At 38.7% G+C, this 21,320-nt stretch overlaps 1 protein-coding gene across 4 annotated transcripts in view, besides 1 other annotated feature; it reads right to left on the bottom strand.

Moving 5' to 3' along the window:
- OTOGL (otogelin like) overlaps positions 1–21,320 on the bottom strand; it is a 281,344-nt gene that overhangs the window by 223,202 nt on the left and 36,822 nt on the right. The window lies entirely within an intron of this gene.
- Positions 7,857–8,403: an enhancer, noted in NCBI's record as "NANOG-H3K27ac-H3K4me1 hESC enhancer chr12:80543056-80543602 (GRCh37/hg19 assembly coordinates)". NCBI's record gives its function as "activates a minimal SCP1, AML or CMV promoter by ChIP-STARR-seq in primed H9 embryonic stem cells {active_cell/tissue: H9 hESC(primed)}" and the evidence as "EXISTENCE:reporter gene assay evidence [ECO:0000049][PMID:30033119]".

Genomic DNA, 21,320 nt, shown 5'->3' with positions numbered 1-21,320 from the left:
TCTTCAATAAATGGTGCTGGGAAAACTGGATATCCATATGAAGAAAAATGAAACTAAACCCCTATCTCTCACCATATACAAAAATTAAACAAAATAGATGTAACACTTAAATCTAAGACCTCAAACTATGAAACTACTACAAGAAAACATTTGGAAAACTCTCCAGGACTTTGGTCTCGGCAAAAATGTCTTGAGTAGTACTCTATAAGTACAGGCGACCAAAGCAAAAGTGGACAAATGGGATCATCTCGAGTTAAAAAGCTTCTGCACAGCAAAGTGAAGAGACAACACATAGAATGGGAGAAAATATTTTCAAACCACCCATCTGACAAGGGATTAAAAACCAGAATATATAAGGATTTCAAACAAACTCTATGGGGAAAAAAATCTAATAATCTCATTAAAAACGGGCAAAAGATTTGAATAGACAGTTCTCAAAAGAAGACATACAAATGGCAAGCAGACATATGAAAAGGTGTTCAATATCATTGATCATCAGAGGAATGCAAATCAAAACTACAATGAGATATCACCTCACCTCAATTAAATGGCTTATATCCAAAAAACAAGCAATAACAAATGCTGGCGAGGATGTGGAGAAAAGGGAACCCTTGCACACTGTTGGTGAGAATGTAAATCAGTACAACCACTATGGAGAACAGTTTGGAGGTTCCTTGAAAAACTAAAAATTGAGCTACCCTATGATCCAGCAATTCCACTGCTGGGTATATACCCAAAAGAAAGGAAATCAGTATATGGAAGAGATACCTGCACTCCCATAATTTTTGCAGCACTCTTCACAATAGACAAGATTTGGATGCAATCTAAGTGTCTCTATGAGTCCATTTTCATGCTGCTGATAAAGACATACCCAAGACTGGGCAATTTACAGAAAAAAAGAGGTTTATTGGACTTAACAGTTCCACATGCCTGGGGAGGCCTTACAATCATGGAGGAAGGCAAGCAGGAGCAAGTCACTTCATACATGAATGGCAGCAGGCAAAGAGGGAATTTGTGCTGGGGAACTCCTCGTTATAAAATGATCAGATCTCATGAGACTTGTTCACTATCACTAGAACAGCATGGGAAAGACTTCTCCTCATGACTCAATTATCTCCCACCGGGTCCCTTCCACAACACATGGGAATTCAAGATGAGACCTGTATGGGGGACGCAGCCAAACCATATCAGTGTCCATCAACAGATGAATGGTGTATTAGTCAGGGTTCTCTAGAGGGACAGAACTAATAGGATAGATGTATATATAAACGGGAGTTTATTAAGGAGTATTGACTCACGTGACCACAAGGTGAGGTCCCACAATAGGCTGTCTGTAAGCTGAGAAGCAAGGAAGCCAGTCTGAGTTCCAAAGCTGAAGAACTTGGAGTCTGATGTTCAAGGGCAGGAAGCATTCAGCAAGGGAGAAAGATGTAGACGAGAAAACTAAACCATTCTAGTCATTTCACGTTCTTCTGCCTGCTTCCATTCTGGCCACGCTGGCAGCTAATTAGATTGTGCCCATCCAGATTGAGGATAGGGTCTGCCTTTCGCAGTCCACGGACTCAAATGTTAATCTCCTTTGGCAACACCTTCACAGGCACACCCAGGAAAAATATTTTGCATCCTTCAATCCAATCAAGTTGACACTCAGTATTAGCCATCACAAGTGGATAAAGAAAATATGGTACATATACATAATGGAGTACTATTCAGACATAAAAATGAATGAGATCCAGTCATTTGCCACAACGTGGACGTAACTGGAGGTCATCATGCTAAGTGAAATAAGCCAGGCACAGAAAGACAAATATCACACGTTCTCACTTATCTGTGGTATTTAAAAATCAACACAATTGAACTCATGGAGATAGAGAGTAGAAGGATGGTTACCAAAGGCTGAGAAAATGAGTGGAGAGGGTGGGAGGTGGGGATGATTAATGGGTATAAAAAATAGTCAGAAAGAATAAATAACACCTAGTATGTGATAGCACAACAGGGTGACTATAGTCAATAATAATTTAATTGTACATTTAAAAATAACTAAGATTATAATTAGATTGTTTGTAACACAAAGGATAAGTGTTTGAGGGGATGGATACCCCATATTACTTGATGTGATTATTATGCATTGCATGCCTGCATCAAAACATCTCATGTACCCTATCTCTTGCAATATGTAATATATACACCATGTACCCACAAAAATTAAAAATTAAAAAAATTAACTCAAAGTTGATAATAGACCTGATTGTAAAATGGGAAACCATAAAACCCCTAGAATATAACATATATAACATAGGAGAAAACCCAGATAGCCTTGAATAGGGTGATGACTTTTTTAGATACAACATCAAAGGCATGATCCATGCAAGAAAGAATTGATAAGCTGTACTTCATTAAAATTTAAAACTTCTACTCTGTGAAAGACAAGGTAAAGAGAATGAGAAGACAAACCACAGACTGAGAGGAAATCATTGCAAAAGATATATCTGATAAAGAATTGTTATCCAAAATATACAAAGAACTCTTAAAACTCAACAAGAAAACAAACAACTCAATTATAAATGCGCCAAAGACCTTAAGGAACACCTCACCAAAGAAGATATACAGATGGAAAATAAGCATATGAAAAAATGCTCCACATCTTACATCATCAGGAAAATGCCAATTAAAACAATAATGTGATACCACTACATATCTATTAAAATGGTCAAAATCCAGAACACTGACAATATCAAATGCTGGCAAGGATGTGTAGCAACAGGAACTTTCATTCACTGGTGGTGGGAATGCAAAATGGTACAGCCATTTGCAAGACAGTTTGGCAGTTTCTTACAAACAAAACATATTCTTACTATATGATCCAGCAATCACACTCCTTAGCACTTAACTATAGGAGCTGAAAACTGTCCACACAAAAACCTGTACACAGATGTTTATAGCAGCTTTATTTTTGCCAAAACCTGGAAGCAATTAAGATATCCTTCAGTAGGTGAATGAATTAATATAGTATATCCAGACAATGGAATATCACTCAACATTGTTAAAAGGTAAACTGAAGCACATTTAATTTTTTTTAATGTATTTGAGCAAACAATGATTCATTAAATGGTCAGCTCCAAACTACAACTAGTTTGGGGAGTTCAAAGAGGGAGTGCAAAGGGGAGGTTTTATAGGACGAACATGGAAGTAAAGCAAAGAAAATATTTGATTGATTGTGCAGCTGCCTTATTTGGTGCAGGCTCCTGGAAAGTCCCCAGTTACACAACTATAACAGTTGGTGGTTTCTGATTAGTTGAGCTTAAGTTTTCTTTTTCTTTCATATGGGCATTTACAAGAAATAGTCCAAGCTTTCTTTTTCCCCCCCTTTTTAACTGAGTCTTGCTCTGTTGCCCAGGCTGGAGTGCAGTGGCATGATCTCAGCTCACTGCAACCTCCACCTCCCGGGTTCAAAAGATTCTCCTGCCCCAGTCTCCCGAGTAGCTGGGACTACAGGCGTGAGCCACCATGCCTGGCTAATTTTTGTATTTTTAGTAGAAACGGAATTTTGCCATGTTGGCCAGGCTGGTCTTGAACTCCTGACCTCAAGTGATCCACCCACCTCGGCCTCCCAAAGTGCTGGGATTACAGGCATGAGCCACTGTGTCCAGCTTCAAGTTAAGTTTTGATTATGTTTGCAAATAAAATAAGGTTAAAGTCATATATGAGACCTAACTGACTTTGTCCACTTACAGATTCTTCAAGCCTGGTCTCTATTTTATTTTAGTTTAACAGCATTAAGAAGAAATGATCTATCAAGACATGAAAAGATATGGAGGAAATTTAAATGCATATTACTAAGTGAAAAAAGCCAATCTGAAATGTCTACATATGTATGATTCCAACTATGTGACATTCTGGGAAAGGCAAAACTATGGAGACAATAAAAAATATCTGTGGTTGCCAGGATTTGGAGGGGTATAGAGGAGGGATGCAGAGGCGGAGCACAGAGGATTTTTAGGGCAGTGACAATACTCTATATGATACTACAATGGTGAAAATATATCATTATATATTTGTACAAACCCATAGAGTGTATAACACCAAGAATGAACTCTAATGTAAATTATGGACTTTGGGTGATTATGATGTGTCAATGTAGGTTCATCAGTTTTAACAAATGTGCCACTCTGGTGGGGGATGTTGATAATGAGAGAGGCTATACATGAGTGAAGACAGAGAAGGTATAGATTAAATGTGTCTCCCACAAATTCTTATGTTGAAAACTTAATCCCCAATGTGATGGTCTCAGGAGGTGGAGCCTTTGAGGGGGTGATTAGGTCATGAGGCTGGAACCCTTGTGGATGGGATTAATGCCCTTATAAAAGAGACTCCAAAGAACTCCCTTGCTCCTTCCACCATCTGAGGACATAATGAAAAGATGGCTGTCTATGAACCAGAAAACGTGCCCTCATCAGACACCAAATCTGCTGGTGTGTTACTCTTGAACTTCCCAACTTCCAGAATAAGAAATAAATTTCCATTGTTGATAAGGCCGTACTATAGGACTTTGCTACAGCAGTCCAAAAGGGTTAATACAGGGAATATATGGGAAATCTCTGTATCTTTCTCTCAATTTTGCTATGAAACTAAAATTGCTATTTAAAAAATAAAGTACTTATTTCATTTAAAAAATTGATGACACGGCCAGGGTGCGGTTGCTCATGCCTGTAATCCCAGCACTTTGGGAGGCCGAGGCAGGTGGACCACCTGAGGTTACGAAATTGGCACCTGCCTGGCCAACATGGTGAAACCCTGTCTCTACTAAAAATACAAAAATTAGCCAGGTGTGGTGGTGCATACCACCAGCTGGGTGGTAATCCCAGCTGAGGCTGAGGCAGGAGAATCTTTTAAACCCGGGAGGTGGAGGTTGCAGTGAGCTGAGATTGTGCCACGGCACTCCAGCCTTGGTGACAAAGTGACACTCTGTCTCAAAAAAATAAATAAATAAATAAAATTTAAAAATTGATGACAAAGGTTGGATTTTTGCAACAGGCGATTGGATTTGTTACCCATCCTCAAATTCTAGGAATACTCAAAGGTCATTGGTGACTATAAATTACCTTACATCCATAGACTGTTTTACTCTTGAGTTCCTACAGCACTGTGGGATGAGTGCCCTCCAAGTTATTATTTCCATCTATTTTGTCATTAGGTTTATAACATACCATGCTTCTGTCACTATTAGTTTTAGTACCTCTGACCTTTCAGCTTCGAGCTGAAATTTGGGAGGGAAGATCTCAGCATCTTCCTTAGCAAAGAATGAAGCATAAAACTGATTGGGCCTCTGCTTTCTCTTCTTATGCCTCAAGACCTCTTTCAACTCATTGAACAGTGCTACTCTGGATTGGGCTCCAACAGAACTGTGAAGTAGGAATCTGTTTTCTCTGTTCTTCACTATTAAACTCCCAACCACCAAGAGCCAGTATTTTATCACCCCTCCTTTCAGTGCTCCTCTCTGACACAGAGCCTAACATGCTCATGTGACCCCATTCCTTCTTGCCCTAGGAGACACCAGTCTAATTTCTCAAATTCTTGCTGATAGTGCCAGATGACTCTAAGATGGAATGTACTGTTCTCAATTGAGTAGAAAGAGGCCTCAGATCTATCATAACTTAAATTTGGGGGACAGTTATTTGACTTCTCTGACCTTAATTTCCTTGTCCGAAAAACAATAATGGTAAAAATAAATACCACCAACTGATAATACCTGTAAAGTGAACTGCAAAGCACAGACAAGTGAATGATTAGATATTCTTGTTAGATTCTATAGGCACAGAAGTCAATGCTGCTTTTGATTCATTGTAACTTTTAAATGTCTTCTAAGTTAAAGGGCCATTCACGTTCACAGTGACATTAGTTGACTAGTCTATTAGTGACTAGTGACTCTTCAGTAACTAGTTGACTCTTCCTTTGCCTCTCACCACCATCATTCCCTCTGTTCTAGAGTATTTACAAGCCACAAGGTGTCTATCTAAAGGAGACAGCTAATATCTAAAGGTATAATTCTATGCTCCAAAACAGCAATACTAATTCAAGTGTGAATAACATGACCCTATTCCCACAGATCCTTTTTTTGGATAGAACTCTGCTTTTAATGTCTCCAGATAAACTGATTATTTTATTTTATTTATTTTTTTTAGAGAGAGCTTACATTTTAATAGGGGAAGTTGACCATGAGCTTGTAAGTATGTGAATAAGCAAAATAATTTCAGAATGTTTTAAGTGCTAAGAAAGAAAGAAGCAGGTAATGGAGTGAAAAGTACTTTAGATTGTGTGGTTAAAGCATACCTGTTTGAGCTGTGACTCTGCGGCTAACCATGGGATACTTTAGGCTCGTCTTGCCTTTTCTAGTTTCTATCAAATCTTAGTTTGCCTCTTAGTCTCTGCTTCCTATCCTAAATCTTATTATTCCTTTGAATTTAGAGTTGCTTTTTGTACATGTTGGATTAACTATGTAGGATGGCTTATTCAATTAGAAACTCATCCTAAATTCCTAGCTCTAGGCATTTGGCCAAATTTCCTCCTAGGAAAATTTTTGACTGGGGAAATCCATCCATAAGCTGACATTTTAGACTTTAGAGAAATCTCAAAAAGGTTTTTTACCTACCCTTTCTCACAAGGATTTCAAAATTAATTTTATTGTGATTCCTATTATCTATAATTTCTTCCATGAACAAATTGCCAAAATCAAATATTATTTTGTCCTTTTTCCATTGTAATTTATTTAAACTATAAATACTAGCATAATTTTTCAGAAATTGCTTTTAAAAGTAAATAAAAAGCATCTATTTCTACTTGTTTTCTATGCCTTTCTTTTTCTAGACTTACAGTAGGGTACAGAAATGAGCTTCAGAGAATCTGCACACTACCATCAATTATATAAAACAGTTATGGGTGGATACATCTTCCTGGGGAAAGGGCTCTTGCCCTTCAGTCATGATCCATGACTCACCAAAGGTGAACAATAACTATAAGGCCCTTATTGAGACAATCACAATGAATGTCTGTGAATTTAAGACCTACTTTTGAGTTTTCTTTGCTCCACTAACAAGGCTGCAGGTCTTCCCTTCTCCAGTAATTGTAGATTTGTTCACTGTCTTAGAAACAGCAAAAATCCCATGATTGGTCCATCGCTCACTGCCTAGATAAAAGATAAATGCGATGGATGAGTCCTTAACATTCCCCTTTGATCTCCCAGACTACTGGGGTAACTCTCTGGAGTTTCCTTTCCAGGTCAGTTTGGAAGTTTCTTTTGAACAGCTTTATCTTTTCATTTTTATTGAATAAGAAATTACATTATGTTCAGCAAGAAACACATTATTCTGTTGTAGCTGCATAGAAAGAAAACCATTTTCAAAATGAATATCACATAGAGGACAAATATAATTCTTGAAAGAAGTTTGGCTCAATGAGGTAAAGAGAAAAAAAATATTCTAGAGAGATTTCCAGGGAACAGGACCTTTGGTCACACAGTACTCTATTTGAGAGAGAGCAAAGTCCTTTCTATAATTATTGGCATTCATTTTTTTGGTTTGCACCAGACACTATATAAAGAAAAGCGAGAAGCCAAGATGGCCGAATAGGAACAGCTCCGGTCTACAGCTCCCAGCGTGAGCGACGCAGAAGATGGGTGATTTCTGCATTTCCATCTGAGGTACCGGGTTCATCTCACTAGGGAGTGCCAGACAGTGGGCGCAGGTCAGTGGGTGCGCGCACCGTGCATGAGCCGAAGCAGGGTGAGGCATTGCCTCACTCGGGAAGTGCAAGGGGTCAGGGAGCTCCCTTTCCTAGTCAGCCGGCACCTGGAAAATCAGGTCACTCCCACCCGAATACTGCGCTTTTCCGACGGGCTTAAAAAACGGTGCACCACAAGATTATATCCCACACCTGGCTTGGAGGGTCCTACGCCCATGGAGTCTCGATGATTGCTAGCACAGCAGTCTGAGATCAAACTGCAAGGCGGCAGCGAGGCTGGGGGAGGGGCGCCCGCCATTGCCCAGGCTTGCTTAGGTAAACAAAGCAGCCAGGAAGCTCGAACTGGGTGGAGCCCACCACAGCTCAAGGAGGCCTGCCTGCCTCTGTAGGCTCCACCTCTGGGGGCAGGGCACAGACAAACAAAAAGACAGCAGTAACCTCTGCAGACTTAAATGTCCCTGTCTGACAGCTTTGAAGAGAGCAGTGGTTCTCCCAGTACGCAACTGGAGATCTGAGAACGGGCAGACTGCCTCCTCAAGTGGGTCCCTGACCCCTGACCCCTGGCCCCCGACCCCCGAGCAGCCTAACTGGGAGGCACCCCCCAGCAGGGGCACACTGACACCTCACACCGCAGGGTACTCCAACAGACCTGCAGCTGAGGGTCCTGTCTGTTAGAAGGAAAACTAACAAACAGAAAGGACATCCACACCAAAAACCCATCTGTACATCACCATTACCAAAGACCAAAAGTAGATAAAACCACAAAGATGGGGAAAAAACACAACAGAAAAACTGGAAACTCTAAAAAGCAGAGCGCCTCTCCTCCTCCAAAGGAACGCAGTTCCTCACCAGCAATGGAACAAAGCTGGACGGAGAACGACTTTGACGAGCTGAGAGAAGAAGGCTTCAGACGATCAAATTACTCTGAGCTACAGGAGGACATTCAAACCAAAGGCAAACAAGTTGAAAACTTTGAAAAAAAATTAGAATAATGTATAACTAGAATAATCAATACAGAGAAGTGCTTAAAGGAGCTGATGGAGCTGAAAACCAAGGCTCGAGAACTACGTGAAGAATGCAGAAGCCTCAGGAGCTGATGCGATCAACTGGAAGAAAGGGTATCAGCAACAGAAGATGAAATGAATGAAATGAAGTGAGAAGGGAAGTTTAGAGAAAACAGAATAAAAACAAATGAGCAAAGCCTCCAAGAAATATGGGACTATGTGAAAAAACCAAATCTACATCTGATTCGTGTACCTGAAAGTGACGAGGAGAATGGAACCAAGTTGAAAAACACTCTGCAGGATATTATGCAGGAGAATTTCCCCAATCTAGCAAGGCAGGCCAACATTCAGATTCAGGAAATACAGAGAACACCACAAAGATACTCCTCGAGAAGAGCAACTCCAAGACACATAATTGTCAGATTCACCAAAGTTGAAATGAAGGAAAAAATGTTAAGGGCAGCCAGAGAGAAAGGTCGGGTTACCCTCAAAGGGAAGCCCATCAGACTAACAGCGGATCTCTCGGCAGAAACCCTACAAGCCAGAAGAGAGTGGGGGCCAATATTCAACATTCTTAAAGAAAAGAATTTGCAACCCAGAATTTCATATCCAGCCAAACTAAGCTTCATAAGTGAAGGAGAAATAAAATACTTTACAGACAAGCAAATGCTGAGAGATTTTGTCACCACCGGACCTGCCCTACAAGAGCTCCTGAAGGAAGCACTAAATGTGGACAGGAACAACCGGTACCAGCCGCTGCAAAATCATGCCAAAATGTAAAGACCATCGAGACTAGGAAGAAACTGCATCAACTAACGAGCAAAATCACCAGCTAACATCATCATGACAGGATCAAATTCACACATAACAATATTAACTTTAAATGTAAATGGACTAAATGCTCCAATTAAGACACAGACTGGGAAATTGGATAAAGAGTCAAGACCCATCAGTGTGCTGTATTCAGGAAACCCATCTCACGTGCAGAGACACACATAGGCTCAAAATAAAAGGATGGAGGAAGATCTACCAAGCAAATGGAGAACAAAAAAAGGCAGGGGTTGCAATCCTAGTCTCTGATAAAACAGACTTTAAACCAATAAAGATCAAAAGAGACAAACAAGGCCATTATATAATGGTAAAGGGATCAATTCAACAAGAAGAGCTAACTATCCTAAATATATATGCACCCAATACAGGAGCACCCAGATTCATAAAGCAGGTCCTGAGTGACCTACAAAGAGACTTAGACTCCCACACATTAACAATGGGAGACTTTAACACCCCACTGTCAACATTAGACAGATCAAGGAGACAGAAAGTCAACAAGAATACCCAGGAATTAAACTCAGCTCTGCACCAAGCAGACCTAATAGACATCTACAGAACTCTCCACCCCAAATCACCAGAATATACATTTTTTTCAGCACCACACCACACCTATTCCAAAATTGACCACATACTTGGAAGTAAAGCTCTCCTCAGCAAATGTAAAAGAACAGAGATTATAACAAACTGTCTCTCAGACCACAGTGCAATCAAACTAGAACTCAGGATTAAGAGTCTCACTCAAAACCGCTCAACTACATGGAAACTGAACAACCTGCTCCTGAATGACTACTGGGTACATAACGAAATGAAGGCAGAAATAAAGATGTTCTTTGAAACCAACGAGAACAAAGACACAACATACCAGAATCTCTGGGACGCATTCAAAGCAGTGTGTAGAGGGAAATTTATAGCACTAAATGCCCACAGGAGAAAGCAGGAAAGATCCAAAATTGACATCCTAACATCACAATTAAAACAACTAGAAAAGCAAGAGCAAACACATTCAAAAGCTAGCAGAAGGCAAGAAATAACTAAAATCAGAGCAGAACTGAAGGAAATAGAGACACAAAAAACCCTTCAAAAAATTAATGAATCCAGGAGCTGGTTTTTTGAAAGGATCAACAAAATAGACAACTAGCAAGACTAATAAAGAAAAAAAGAGAGAAGAATCAAATAGATACAATAAAAAATGATAAAAGGGATATCACCACCAATCCCACAGAAATACAAACTACCATCAGAGAATACTACAAACACCTCTATGCAAATAAACTAGAAAATCTAGAAGAAATGGATAAATTCCTCGACACATACACTCTCCCAAGACTAAACCAGGAAGAAGTTGAATCTCTGAATAGACCAATAACAGGAGCTGAAATTGTGGCAATAATCAATAGCTTACCAACCAAAAAGAGTCCAGGACCAGATGGATTCACAGCTGAATTCTAGCAGAGGTACAAGGAGGAACTGATACCATTCCTTCTGAAACTATTCCAATCAATAGAAAAAGAGGGAATCCTCCCTAACTCATTTTATGAGGCCAGCATCATTCTGATACCAAAGCCTGGCAGAGACACAACCAAAAAAGAGAATTTTAGACCAATATCCTTGATGAATATTGATGCAAAAATCCTCAATAAAATACTGGCAAAACGAATCCAGCAGCACATCAAAAAGCTTATCCACCATGATCAAGAGGGCTTCATCCCTGGGATGCAAGGCTGGTTCAATATACGCAAATCAATAAATGTAATCCAGCATATAAACCGAGCCAAAGACAAAAACCACATGATTATCTCAATAGATGCAGAAAAAGCCTTTGACAAAATTCAACAACCCTTCATGCTAAAAACTCTCAATAAATTAGATATTGATGGGACATATCTCAAAATAATAAGAGCTATCTATGACAAACCCACAGCCAATATCATACTGAATGGGCAAAAACTGGAAGCATTCCCTTTGAAAACTGGCACAAGACAGGGATGCCCTCTCTCACCGCTCCTATTCAACAGGGTGTTGGAAGTTCTGGCCAGGGCAATTAGGCAGGAGAAGGAAATAAAGGGTATTCAAATAGGAAAAGAGGAAGTCAAATTGTCCCTGCTTACAGATGACATGATTGTATATCTAGAAAACCCCATTGTTCAGCCCAAAATCTCCTTCAGCTGATAAGCAATTTCAGCAAAGTCTCAGGATACAAAATCAATGTACAAAAATCACAAGCATTCTTATACACCAACAACAGACAAACAGAGAGCCAAATCATGAGTGAACTCCCATTCACAACTGCTTCAAAGAGAATAAAATACCTAGGAATCCAACTTACAAAGGATGTGAAGGACTTCTTCAAGGAGAACTACAAACCACTGCTCAATGAAATAAAAGAGGATACAAACAAATGGAAGAACATTCCATGCTCATGGGTAGGAAGAATCAATATCGTGAAAATGGCCATACTGCCCAAGGTAATTTATAGATTCAATGCCATCCCCATCAAGCTACCAATGCCTTTCTTCACGGAATTGGAAAAAACTACTTTAAAGTTCATATGGCACCAAAAAAGAGCCCGCATCGCCAAGTCAATCCTAAGCCAAAAGAACAAAGCTGGAGGCATCACACTACCTGACTTCAAACTATACTAGAAGGCTACAGTAACCAAAACAGCATGGTACTGGTACCAAAACAGAGATATAGATCAATGGAACAGAACAGAGCCCTCAGAAATAACGCCGCATATCTACAACTATCTGATCTTTGACAAACCTGAGAAAAAACAAGCAACGGGGAAAGGATTCCCTATTTAATAAATGGTGCTGGGAAAACTGGCTAGCCATATGTAGAAAGCTGATACTGGATCCCTTCCTTACACCTTACACAAAAGTCAATTCAAGATGGATTAAAGACTTAAACGTTAGACCTAAAACCATAAAAACCCTAGAAGAAAACCTAGGCAATACCATTCAGGACATAGGCATGGGCAAGGACTTCATGTCTAAAACACCAAAAGCAATGGCAACAAAAGACAAAATTGACAAATGGGATCTAATTAAACTAAAGAGCTTCTGTACAGCAAAAGAAACTACCATCAGAGTGAACAGGCAACCTACAACATGGGAGAAAATTTTTGCAACCTACTCATCTGACAAAGGGCTAATATCCAGAATCTACAATGAACTCAAACAAATTTACAAGAAAAAAACAAACAACCCCATCAAAAAGTGGGTGAAGGACATGAACAGACACTTCTCAAAAGAAGACATTTATGCAGCCAAAAAACATATGAAAAAATGCTCATCATCACTGGCCATCAGAGAAATGCAAATCAAAACCACAATGAGATACCATCTCACACTAGTTAGAATGGCAATCATTATAAAGTCAGGAAACAACAGGTGCTGGAGAGGATGTGGAGAAATAGGAACACTTTTACACTGTTGGTGGGACTGTAAACTAGTTCAACCATTGTGGAAGTCATTGTGGTGATTCCTCAGGGATCTAGAACTAGAAATACCATTTGACCCAGCCATCCCATTACTGGATATATACCCAAAGGACTATAAGTCATGCTGCTATAAAGACACATGCACACGTATGTTTATTGCGGCACTATTCACAATAGCAAAGACTTGGAACCAACCCAAATGTCCAACAATGATAGACCGGATTAAGAAAATGTGGCACATATACACCACGGAATACTATGCAGCCATAAAAAATGATGAGTTCATGTCCTTTGTAGGGACATGGATGAAATTGGAAATCATCATTCTCAGTAAACTATCGCAAGAACAAAAAACCAAACACCGCATATTCTCACTCATAGGTGGGAATTGAACAATGAGATCACATGGACACAGAAGGGGAACATCACACTCTGGGGACTGTTGTGGGGTGGGGGGAGTGGGAAGGGATAGCATTGGGAGATACACCTAATGCTAGATGACGAGTTAGTGGGTGCAGCGCACCAGCGTGGCACATGTTTACATATGTAACTAACCTGCACAATGTGCACAAGTACCCTAAAACTTAAAGTATAATAATAAAAGAAAAAAAAAAAAAGAAAAGCACAAAACGACAGAGCATTTTCAATGCCTTTGAATACATAGAAGAATATACATATATCTCTCTGGCCAAATAAGTTATTTTCTGAGTGTAAATTAGTCCCTTTTAGAATACCATTAACTCTTTTAGCATGGAAGAACTAGATATAAAAACAGTACACCTGAATAGCATACTACATGAGCAGTTTATCATTCCAATAAGATCAAAATCACTATTCTATAAATAAAATAGTGACTGACGCAACATTGAGCACATTATTTACTGTCCATGTTCTGTTAGTTACTCCTGATGGCCTCCTTTATGCCATCATGAGAAACTAACACACTCTATCAAATGTGACAGACCTGCGTCAAACGTCTTCTTCTGCTCCAAAACAAACACCTCTGAAATGAACCTCTGACTTGAGCACTCCACAGCCTGGGGCTCAAGTTTCTCAGCCCCAGCACTCAGCAATGCAAGAATTTTGTGCAGGGAACTATACACGACTCCACAGGGTTCCAGGAGGTAGAAAACAAACCATGAAAAATGGGAGAAATTAAGGCTGGTAAGGGAAAGAGAGGAAGAACACTTTCCAATTAATGGGAAAGAAGGTGTGTCTATCACCAGGGATCACTTTGAACACAGGCAGGTCAAGCAGTGACATTTAGGCTGTGATTTGAGGGGTTCAAAAAAAGCTTTTCCTATTCATCCCCATCCCCTAACCAAATTCAGATCCATAGTCCCTTATTGGAAACCCAAGAAGTCAATTTGGAATTCTAAACTTTAGGGACTTCAGAAAGTTAACAGGGTGCATCTACTTTATGTTATTATGTAACACTCTATAGTGGGGTATGGGGTAGCACCCTATTATCAAATACATTAATACTTCTGCTGCAAAATGTATATTTCCATTACATATGACAATGAAGACTATAAAAAGCCTCATGTCAATTCATGATAGGTTTGTACCTAATTAGGTCAGGTCAGCCTTTGCCACCCAACTATTTTCCCAGAGTGGAATACTGCTATGTTACTTCATCCCAGCCCATCTTTCCCACCTCTTGCACATATGCCTTCCCATAAAAATGCCAGTTGCCTGAGTGGTCCCAAGTCCTCCAGATTTAATTTTATATTTAAATCAAAATGAGTCCAGTTCCCATCCAATGTAGCATGGGAAAGCCCCTCTTCTGCCACCCCTGCTGTATCTCTACATCTTCCCTGACTCATCCTTTCTGCTGGATTCCCCTCCTCATTCACCTCTAGCTTCTGGTGCCTGTTTCATTTTCTCTGCCTCGTTTGGCCCAACCACAGAACACAATCCCTTTTCCTAAGACTATCTAATGCAACCAAAGCAGTGGGGATAGACAGAAGGGAACAGACACAGGCAGTGTTAAGGGGCCGTCAAATGAATGAGAGTTGGCTTTCCTAGGCTGCAAGCAGTGAGGGACAGACATTATCTCCTGGCCTTGGGATAGTGGTGAAGGAATAGTGGTTCCTGCCAATACAGATGCAAAGTAGTTCCACTGAAGATATCTTACATTAAACAACAGAATTTAACTGAAGATATAGAGAAAATGGGGAGGAGTTTATATCTTGGCACAACACAGAAAATGAATGAAAAGTTTTAATTGAAGAATTCACCTCCTTTCCCACCACTCAGAACTTTCACTATGTTTCTTCAAAGGACTCCAGATTCTGGCCATGATCCTGGGCTCCTTTCTATACATCTGTGCCACCCAGTACAATAACCGCTAGACACGTGGCCACTGAGTGCTTGAAATTTAGCTAATCCAAATTGGGATGTGCTGTCAATCTATGATATATTACTAAAAGTAATTTTACCTGTTTATATTTTGTTTTAGCTAGAAAACTTAAAATTATATATGACTCACATTGTGTTTTTATTGGACAATGCTGATCTAAGTTTTTCTCTAACCTTCTCCTTCACAGGAGTCTCTCTCCTCCTCTCTCTTTGTCTTCTTTCAGAAACTCAAAAGTTCTCCCATTTGGTACACTAAGCAAGCAATACAGCTCCCTCCTGATCTCAGACTATCCTATCTTGGCCAAGCCCAGGAGGACAAGAAAGGAAGGTTGAGGATGGAGTGTAGGGGCCAGTTTCTTTCTCATTTCATTCTCAGAGTGGCCATGAGGGTACTCTCTTAAATAGTCTTTCCTCTCCCAAAAACGAATTCTGCTGCTAATTTTAAAATATAAAAATACTCTTTCTACTACATACCTATATAGAAAATCATACTTATCAATCATGAACTTTGCAGACTCCCTGTAAAATATAAGCAACTTGAAATTCTTGACTTTTTGACTTTCTGTTGAACTAATACAAAAAGTCTTGAATGGTGGCTGATTCTTTATTTGAGTCTCAGAGATCCCAGGAACAAGACTGGGAAGGAAAGCAAAATGAGGCTGACACCCTTTAGGGAGATTTTAATCAAGGTACAGCAAGGGCTGATGAAACAAGTCTGCCTGTTGTTAGAGAACACCTTTTTATTTACTCATTGCATGTGTATTGAGCTCTTCTGGGATTGAGCAGTATGGTGCTGAACGATAAGTGCTCAGAATACTCAAGTTCTCTGGAGGCAGCATCCTCCTCCTGGACACCAGGCACCAAGAAATAAAAGTGCTTGCTTTTCTATATTCCATACCTAAAAATTGTCACCTTCTGGTGATATATCTTGATGGTTGAAAAATGATTCTTATTAATAGTCACCTTTCAATTAGGAGAGAAAAATAAAGATAAGACACTGCAGATATTAAAGTTACACAAATGAGGCTAAAAGATAAGAAAAACAGAAAGATAATGCCACGGCTTACTTTTATCTCTAGAGTTAATAAAAAAAATCTTGCCTTTTTCCCTTGAAACCACCACCCTACTTTACATAACTTAAGAACTCGGGGAATGTGACAGAGTATAATTACCAGCCCTTTCCTTTAAAAATAAAGGTACAAGAATAAAAAGATCACCATGCTTCAATAAACACCTGCAAGAGCTACAGAAATATCATTGTTTCTTTATAAGTCTTGTGGAGCAAACTATTTTTAACAATATCAGGATTTAATTTAATCTTTGTTCACTACTTTTCTGAAGGTATATTTGGTAAGTTAGTTGAACATAAAGAAGTTATTCTATGTACACTTATTTCATAAATGTGGGAAAAAATCACTTAATTACTAAAAATTACTGATGTCCGTATATATTTACAAAGATACCAGTTCTTCTCTCTTAGTCAGAAATTCACATTTAATACTTAAAATGATCAAGTTCACATTACATAAATAGTAATGATACTAACTGACAATACATATTTTCTATGAGCTAGGTGCCAATCTAAGGACTTTACATATGCTGACATTCAATTCTTACCACAATAGTAAGAGGTAGGTATACTTAGTAGGCACATTTTATATATGAGGAGACTGAAGCACAGAGAGATGAAGTAACTTGCCCAAGATCATCAGGTAGTTAATGGCAGAGCCATGGGGACATTAACCCAGTTACTCTAATTCCAGAGTCCTCACTTTTTAACACTGTGCTCTACTTCTTAAGAAAGTAATAAAGAAATTCATAACATTTGATGTGTTCCTTTATTTACTTAAGGATGGTAAGACTGTCTGAAATCTTATGTCACCTGACAAAGCTGAACACAAATAGTTAACAAAGCAGACATCAAAAGCAATCTGTTTCAAAAGTAAACTCCAGGCACAGTCCCAAATGACCCAAAGAAGCCAATAATTTACCTCTGAACATCACATGCAGTTGCATTGACCCTAAAGTTGAAATAAAGGCGGTTGTTGGTAAAACGAAAAACAACTCAAACCATGTGATAGAGACGCTCCCAGAAGACATCTGTGGTATGAAGGAGATCAGTGCTAGAATCCACATGAGAAATGAGGTAGACTCGAAATGTCATCAATAGAGAGAACAAAGTAAAGGGGAGAGGCAAGGCAGGTGGAACTGGAGTGAATGTGACTTGATTATTTGTTGAATGTAACAAGAGAAGAATACAGTAGTTGGGATTCTTGCCCAGGGCTTAAATAGCATGGTAAGAGAATGATGATGTCTTTAACATGCATTCATAGGAAACTGGAAAGGAAAATCTGAGGGTATAGGTCATGAAAATCAGTTTAGGGAATAGTCAGTGTAGGATGTTAGTAGAACATTCAGATGGAAATATTTTGGAAATGGTGGGAAGAGATTGAGCAGTTATCAACACGTATATGATAGTTTAAACTACAGCACACTACTCCTAGGCATAATGTTTCTAAAGGCAGCCTTCCTAAAGTGATTTTGTTGTATTCAAATTCCTCTAATATTCATTAAGCACCTACTGTCTTTAAGGCACTATGATAAGCACAGTGGGAATTCAAAAAGGCCTTTAAATATATTTTAATTTTATAATCCCTCAAAGAGCTTGAATTTGAATAAAGTAAGAGTAACTTGAAATCAAAGCAGAATATGACAAAAACCATCAAACAAACAAACAACAAAAACTTAGTGGATCAAAGAAAAGAGAGTGCACATTAGCTAGGGAAATCAGGAAATATTTAAGGAGGGAAGTGGCATGTGGCCAACACAAGATACAGAAAAGATGCAAAAAATGAAGTTGTGCCATGGAATTTCAACACTGAACGTTGTAACTGGGAGAAACCAATGTGTAAGTTAAGGCTCAGTTATAAAGGATAAAATTCATATTGACTTATTTAAATGAAAATGGATTGCTACAGTTCCCAGGTATTTAAAAAAGGCTTACAGAGTAATTAGGACAGCTAACTTAGTAAACTTTGCACAGAGGGTCCAGGAATAACTCCCAAGATCCTACCGCAGAAATGCACTTCCAAAGCAGCTGCTTCACCCGCCATGATCAAGGAGCTGCCATCTCCAAGGTCAGCCTTTATGCCATCCTCCTCACCAGCAATCTGCACCACCAAAACGGATATTTCTTATTCTTTCTCTCTTAACTGCATAATTCGAGTCCTATATGAATTCATCTGATTGGCCACATATAGGACCCTCGCTATAAGGGAGTGTGGGATACGTGAGTTTTAGCTTCCCAATCTCTGCAGTACAAAAGGACACAGTAAAAGGTAGTTGGAAGAGACGGTGAGAAAGATAGTCTAAATGTTTACCACACTGGACATGTTCAGAGACTTTTGCTTAGGATAGAAACCAACCATCCATCCACCAATTCATTTATTCATTCACTCAAAAAACATTTTAGTGTTAAAGATGTATCAGTAATCAATATTAATTTTACCCCTCTGACTTTAACTTCTATTCTCTGTGAACACATTGATTCACTATTCAGCTACAGTCTGTTATTATACTCTTGTCATTTTTTAATTAAAAAATTAGACTTTATATTTTCTTGACATTGGCCTTTTTTGCTTCAAAGTGCTAATGTAGCTATTGGCTTTCAGTGTTGGAATCATTTGACCACTAAAGTAATTGATGTTCTTATCTTGCAACTGGCAGTAAAAGCTCTCATAACTAGTCTTTGAAATATAGGGGATGAAAAAAATCCCTCACTCTCCCCATTCCTATTAACCTGGAGAACACATGTTCTCATCATCATTTACTAATGATAATAATATGACAGAGGAAGAAGAGTGATAACACTGATAGTTACGTTGTACTTACCATTTGCCAAGAACTGTGCTAAAATCAGCTTAGATTATTCCATTTAATTCTTACAACAGCTTTATTAGAGATATTATGATCACTATTTTATAGATGAGGAAACTAAGAATATGAAAGAATAAGAAAATTATCGTATCAACCAATTGGAACTTTTTACCAAGTATAATTATACTTCTAAGCCTTTCTTTCTAACAGAAAGAAAGGAGCCTTTGCCCTAAGGAAAGATTTAGTAAGAATCCCCTATACTCTGTTGGGAACTCGTTCATTCTGATTCAAAAGCTACTTCCCATCTGTATAATTGCATGTGTGATTGTCTAAAAAAAGACATCTAACTTAATTATACCATCTCTGAGAAGGAAAGTCTAACCCCAGATTTATTTATAAACCATAATACTTATTTGTACTAACATCAGAACATACAGTAATCTTAATTTTTCTGTTAAGTCTATTTTTTTAGCTCCTCTATCTAAAAGGCTAGGAGACTCCAAAGTGATACTTCTTCCCAAAGAACAGAAACACGGGTTAGAGCTCCATTTTTATCAACGTGAACCAGGTCTCATTTGCGTCCCTGATTTTTAATAGAGAAGTCTCCAGTCATCACAGCTGCATCCTAAAAGATCAATTATGTTCCCCAAGACTGGTTTCCAGTAATTACCCTGGCATCAGAACATGACACTAATAAACCTAGAAACATGAGGCAAGAGTGCCTTACATAGAGTTCCAGCTTGCTGTTAATTTGTGATGGGGCTTTAAATAAGCCATTTAACTTCTTCCCATTTGCTTCCTCATCTGTAAAATTAGGATTAAAAATAAATTCTTAGAATCTGGTAGGCATTAATTATTGTTTTGAAAGCATGTTAAGGTCTGGGCACTGAGCAGAAAAATGATAAAACATCCAAATTAGTGTCCTGATTTGTCTTGGGTCAAACATCTAATTTGGCAAGAGGTTTTGGTCAATTCCATTTCTCAGCAAGTTCATCAAAGTACTGTCTAGGCAGGTTAAAGTGATCCTTTTGAAACACCATACCAATGTCTTTTATTGTAAACAGAAAATAAGTGTTCACAATTGATTGTGCCAGAAGTTTAGACAACTAGATGACAACTGAATATTCACTAAAATAGCAATTCAGTGACATGGTTTTTTTCTTTGCTACCGAGATACTATTATATAACATGAAATTATAGTAACCACTGGCATTTTTGTATAAATACCACATAGAGCTTTTGGATAGCTACAACTGACTTAATAGAATAAAATTTGAGAGATTAAATATTTCCTGTTGATTATATTTTAAACAGCTCTGTCTTGTTGTTGGAGAGGAAAATAGTCCTTCTACATTAGTAAAATCTCGTTTCTGAAACCGATCAGAAAACAATGCACTTTTTTTTCTGTGACTGACAGCATTAATCCAGCCAACAAACACTTATTTAACACTATCATGTGCTAAGTAATATTCTAATTATGGGGAATACCATAGCAAACAAAATAGATAAAAACTTCTACCCATGTGGAGTTTACATTCTAATAGAATGGGAAGAGACACTGAAAAATAAGAAATAAATATAAATAAACAAAGTACATAATATATCAGATGCTGACAAATACTATTTTAAAAAAAATAGAGAAAAAAACAGAGAATGAAGAGATAGCTGGAAGGGTTGGAATAGGATGAAGATAGCAATTTTAGACAAGGTGGTCAGGAAAGCCCTCCCTGGTAGGAGACATTTGAAAAAGACCTATACCGTTGTTCACAGCTGCCTAGAGAAATTATGGTCCAGGTAGAAGGAAGAACAAGTCCAAAAGCCTGAGACTTTCCTGGAAGGTTTGAAAACCAGCAAAGAAGCTAGGGTGGTAAGAACAGAGAGAACTAGAAACAGAGTAGTACAAGAGGTGAAAATATATCATAAGGTGTACTTCACGAAGTCAAAAAAGGTATCCTACTACTACATGGACAGTAAATTCTATGAGGACCAGGGGATGGCAGGGAGACCTGGCAAGAGGCTATTTTACTATTGACATGAAAGGTGATGCTGGCTGTGACCAGAATAGCGGA

Source organism: Homo sapiens, chromosome 12 (assembly GCF_000001405.40).
Source record: "Homo sapiens chromosome 12, GRCh38.p14 Primary Assembly".
Lineage (NCBI taxonomy): Eukaryota > Metazoa > Chordata > Mammalia > Primates > Hominidae > Homo > Homo sapiens.
The sequence above is the reverse complement of the archived record's forward strand: the minus strand, read 5'-3'. Positions and strand labels throughout refer to the sequence as shown.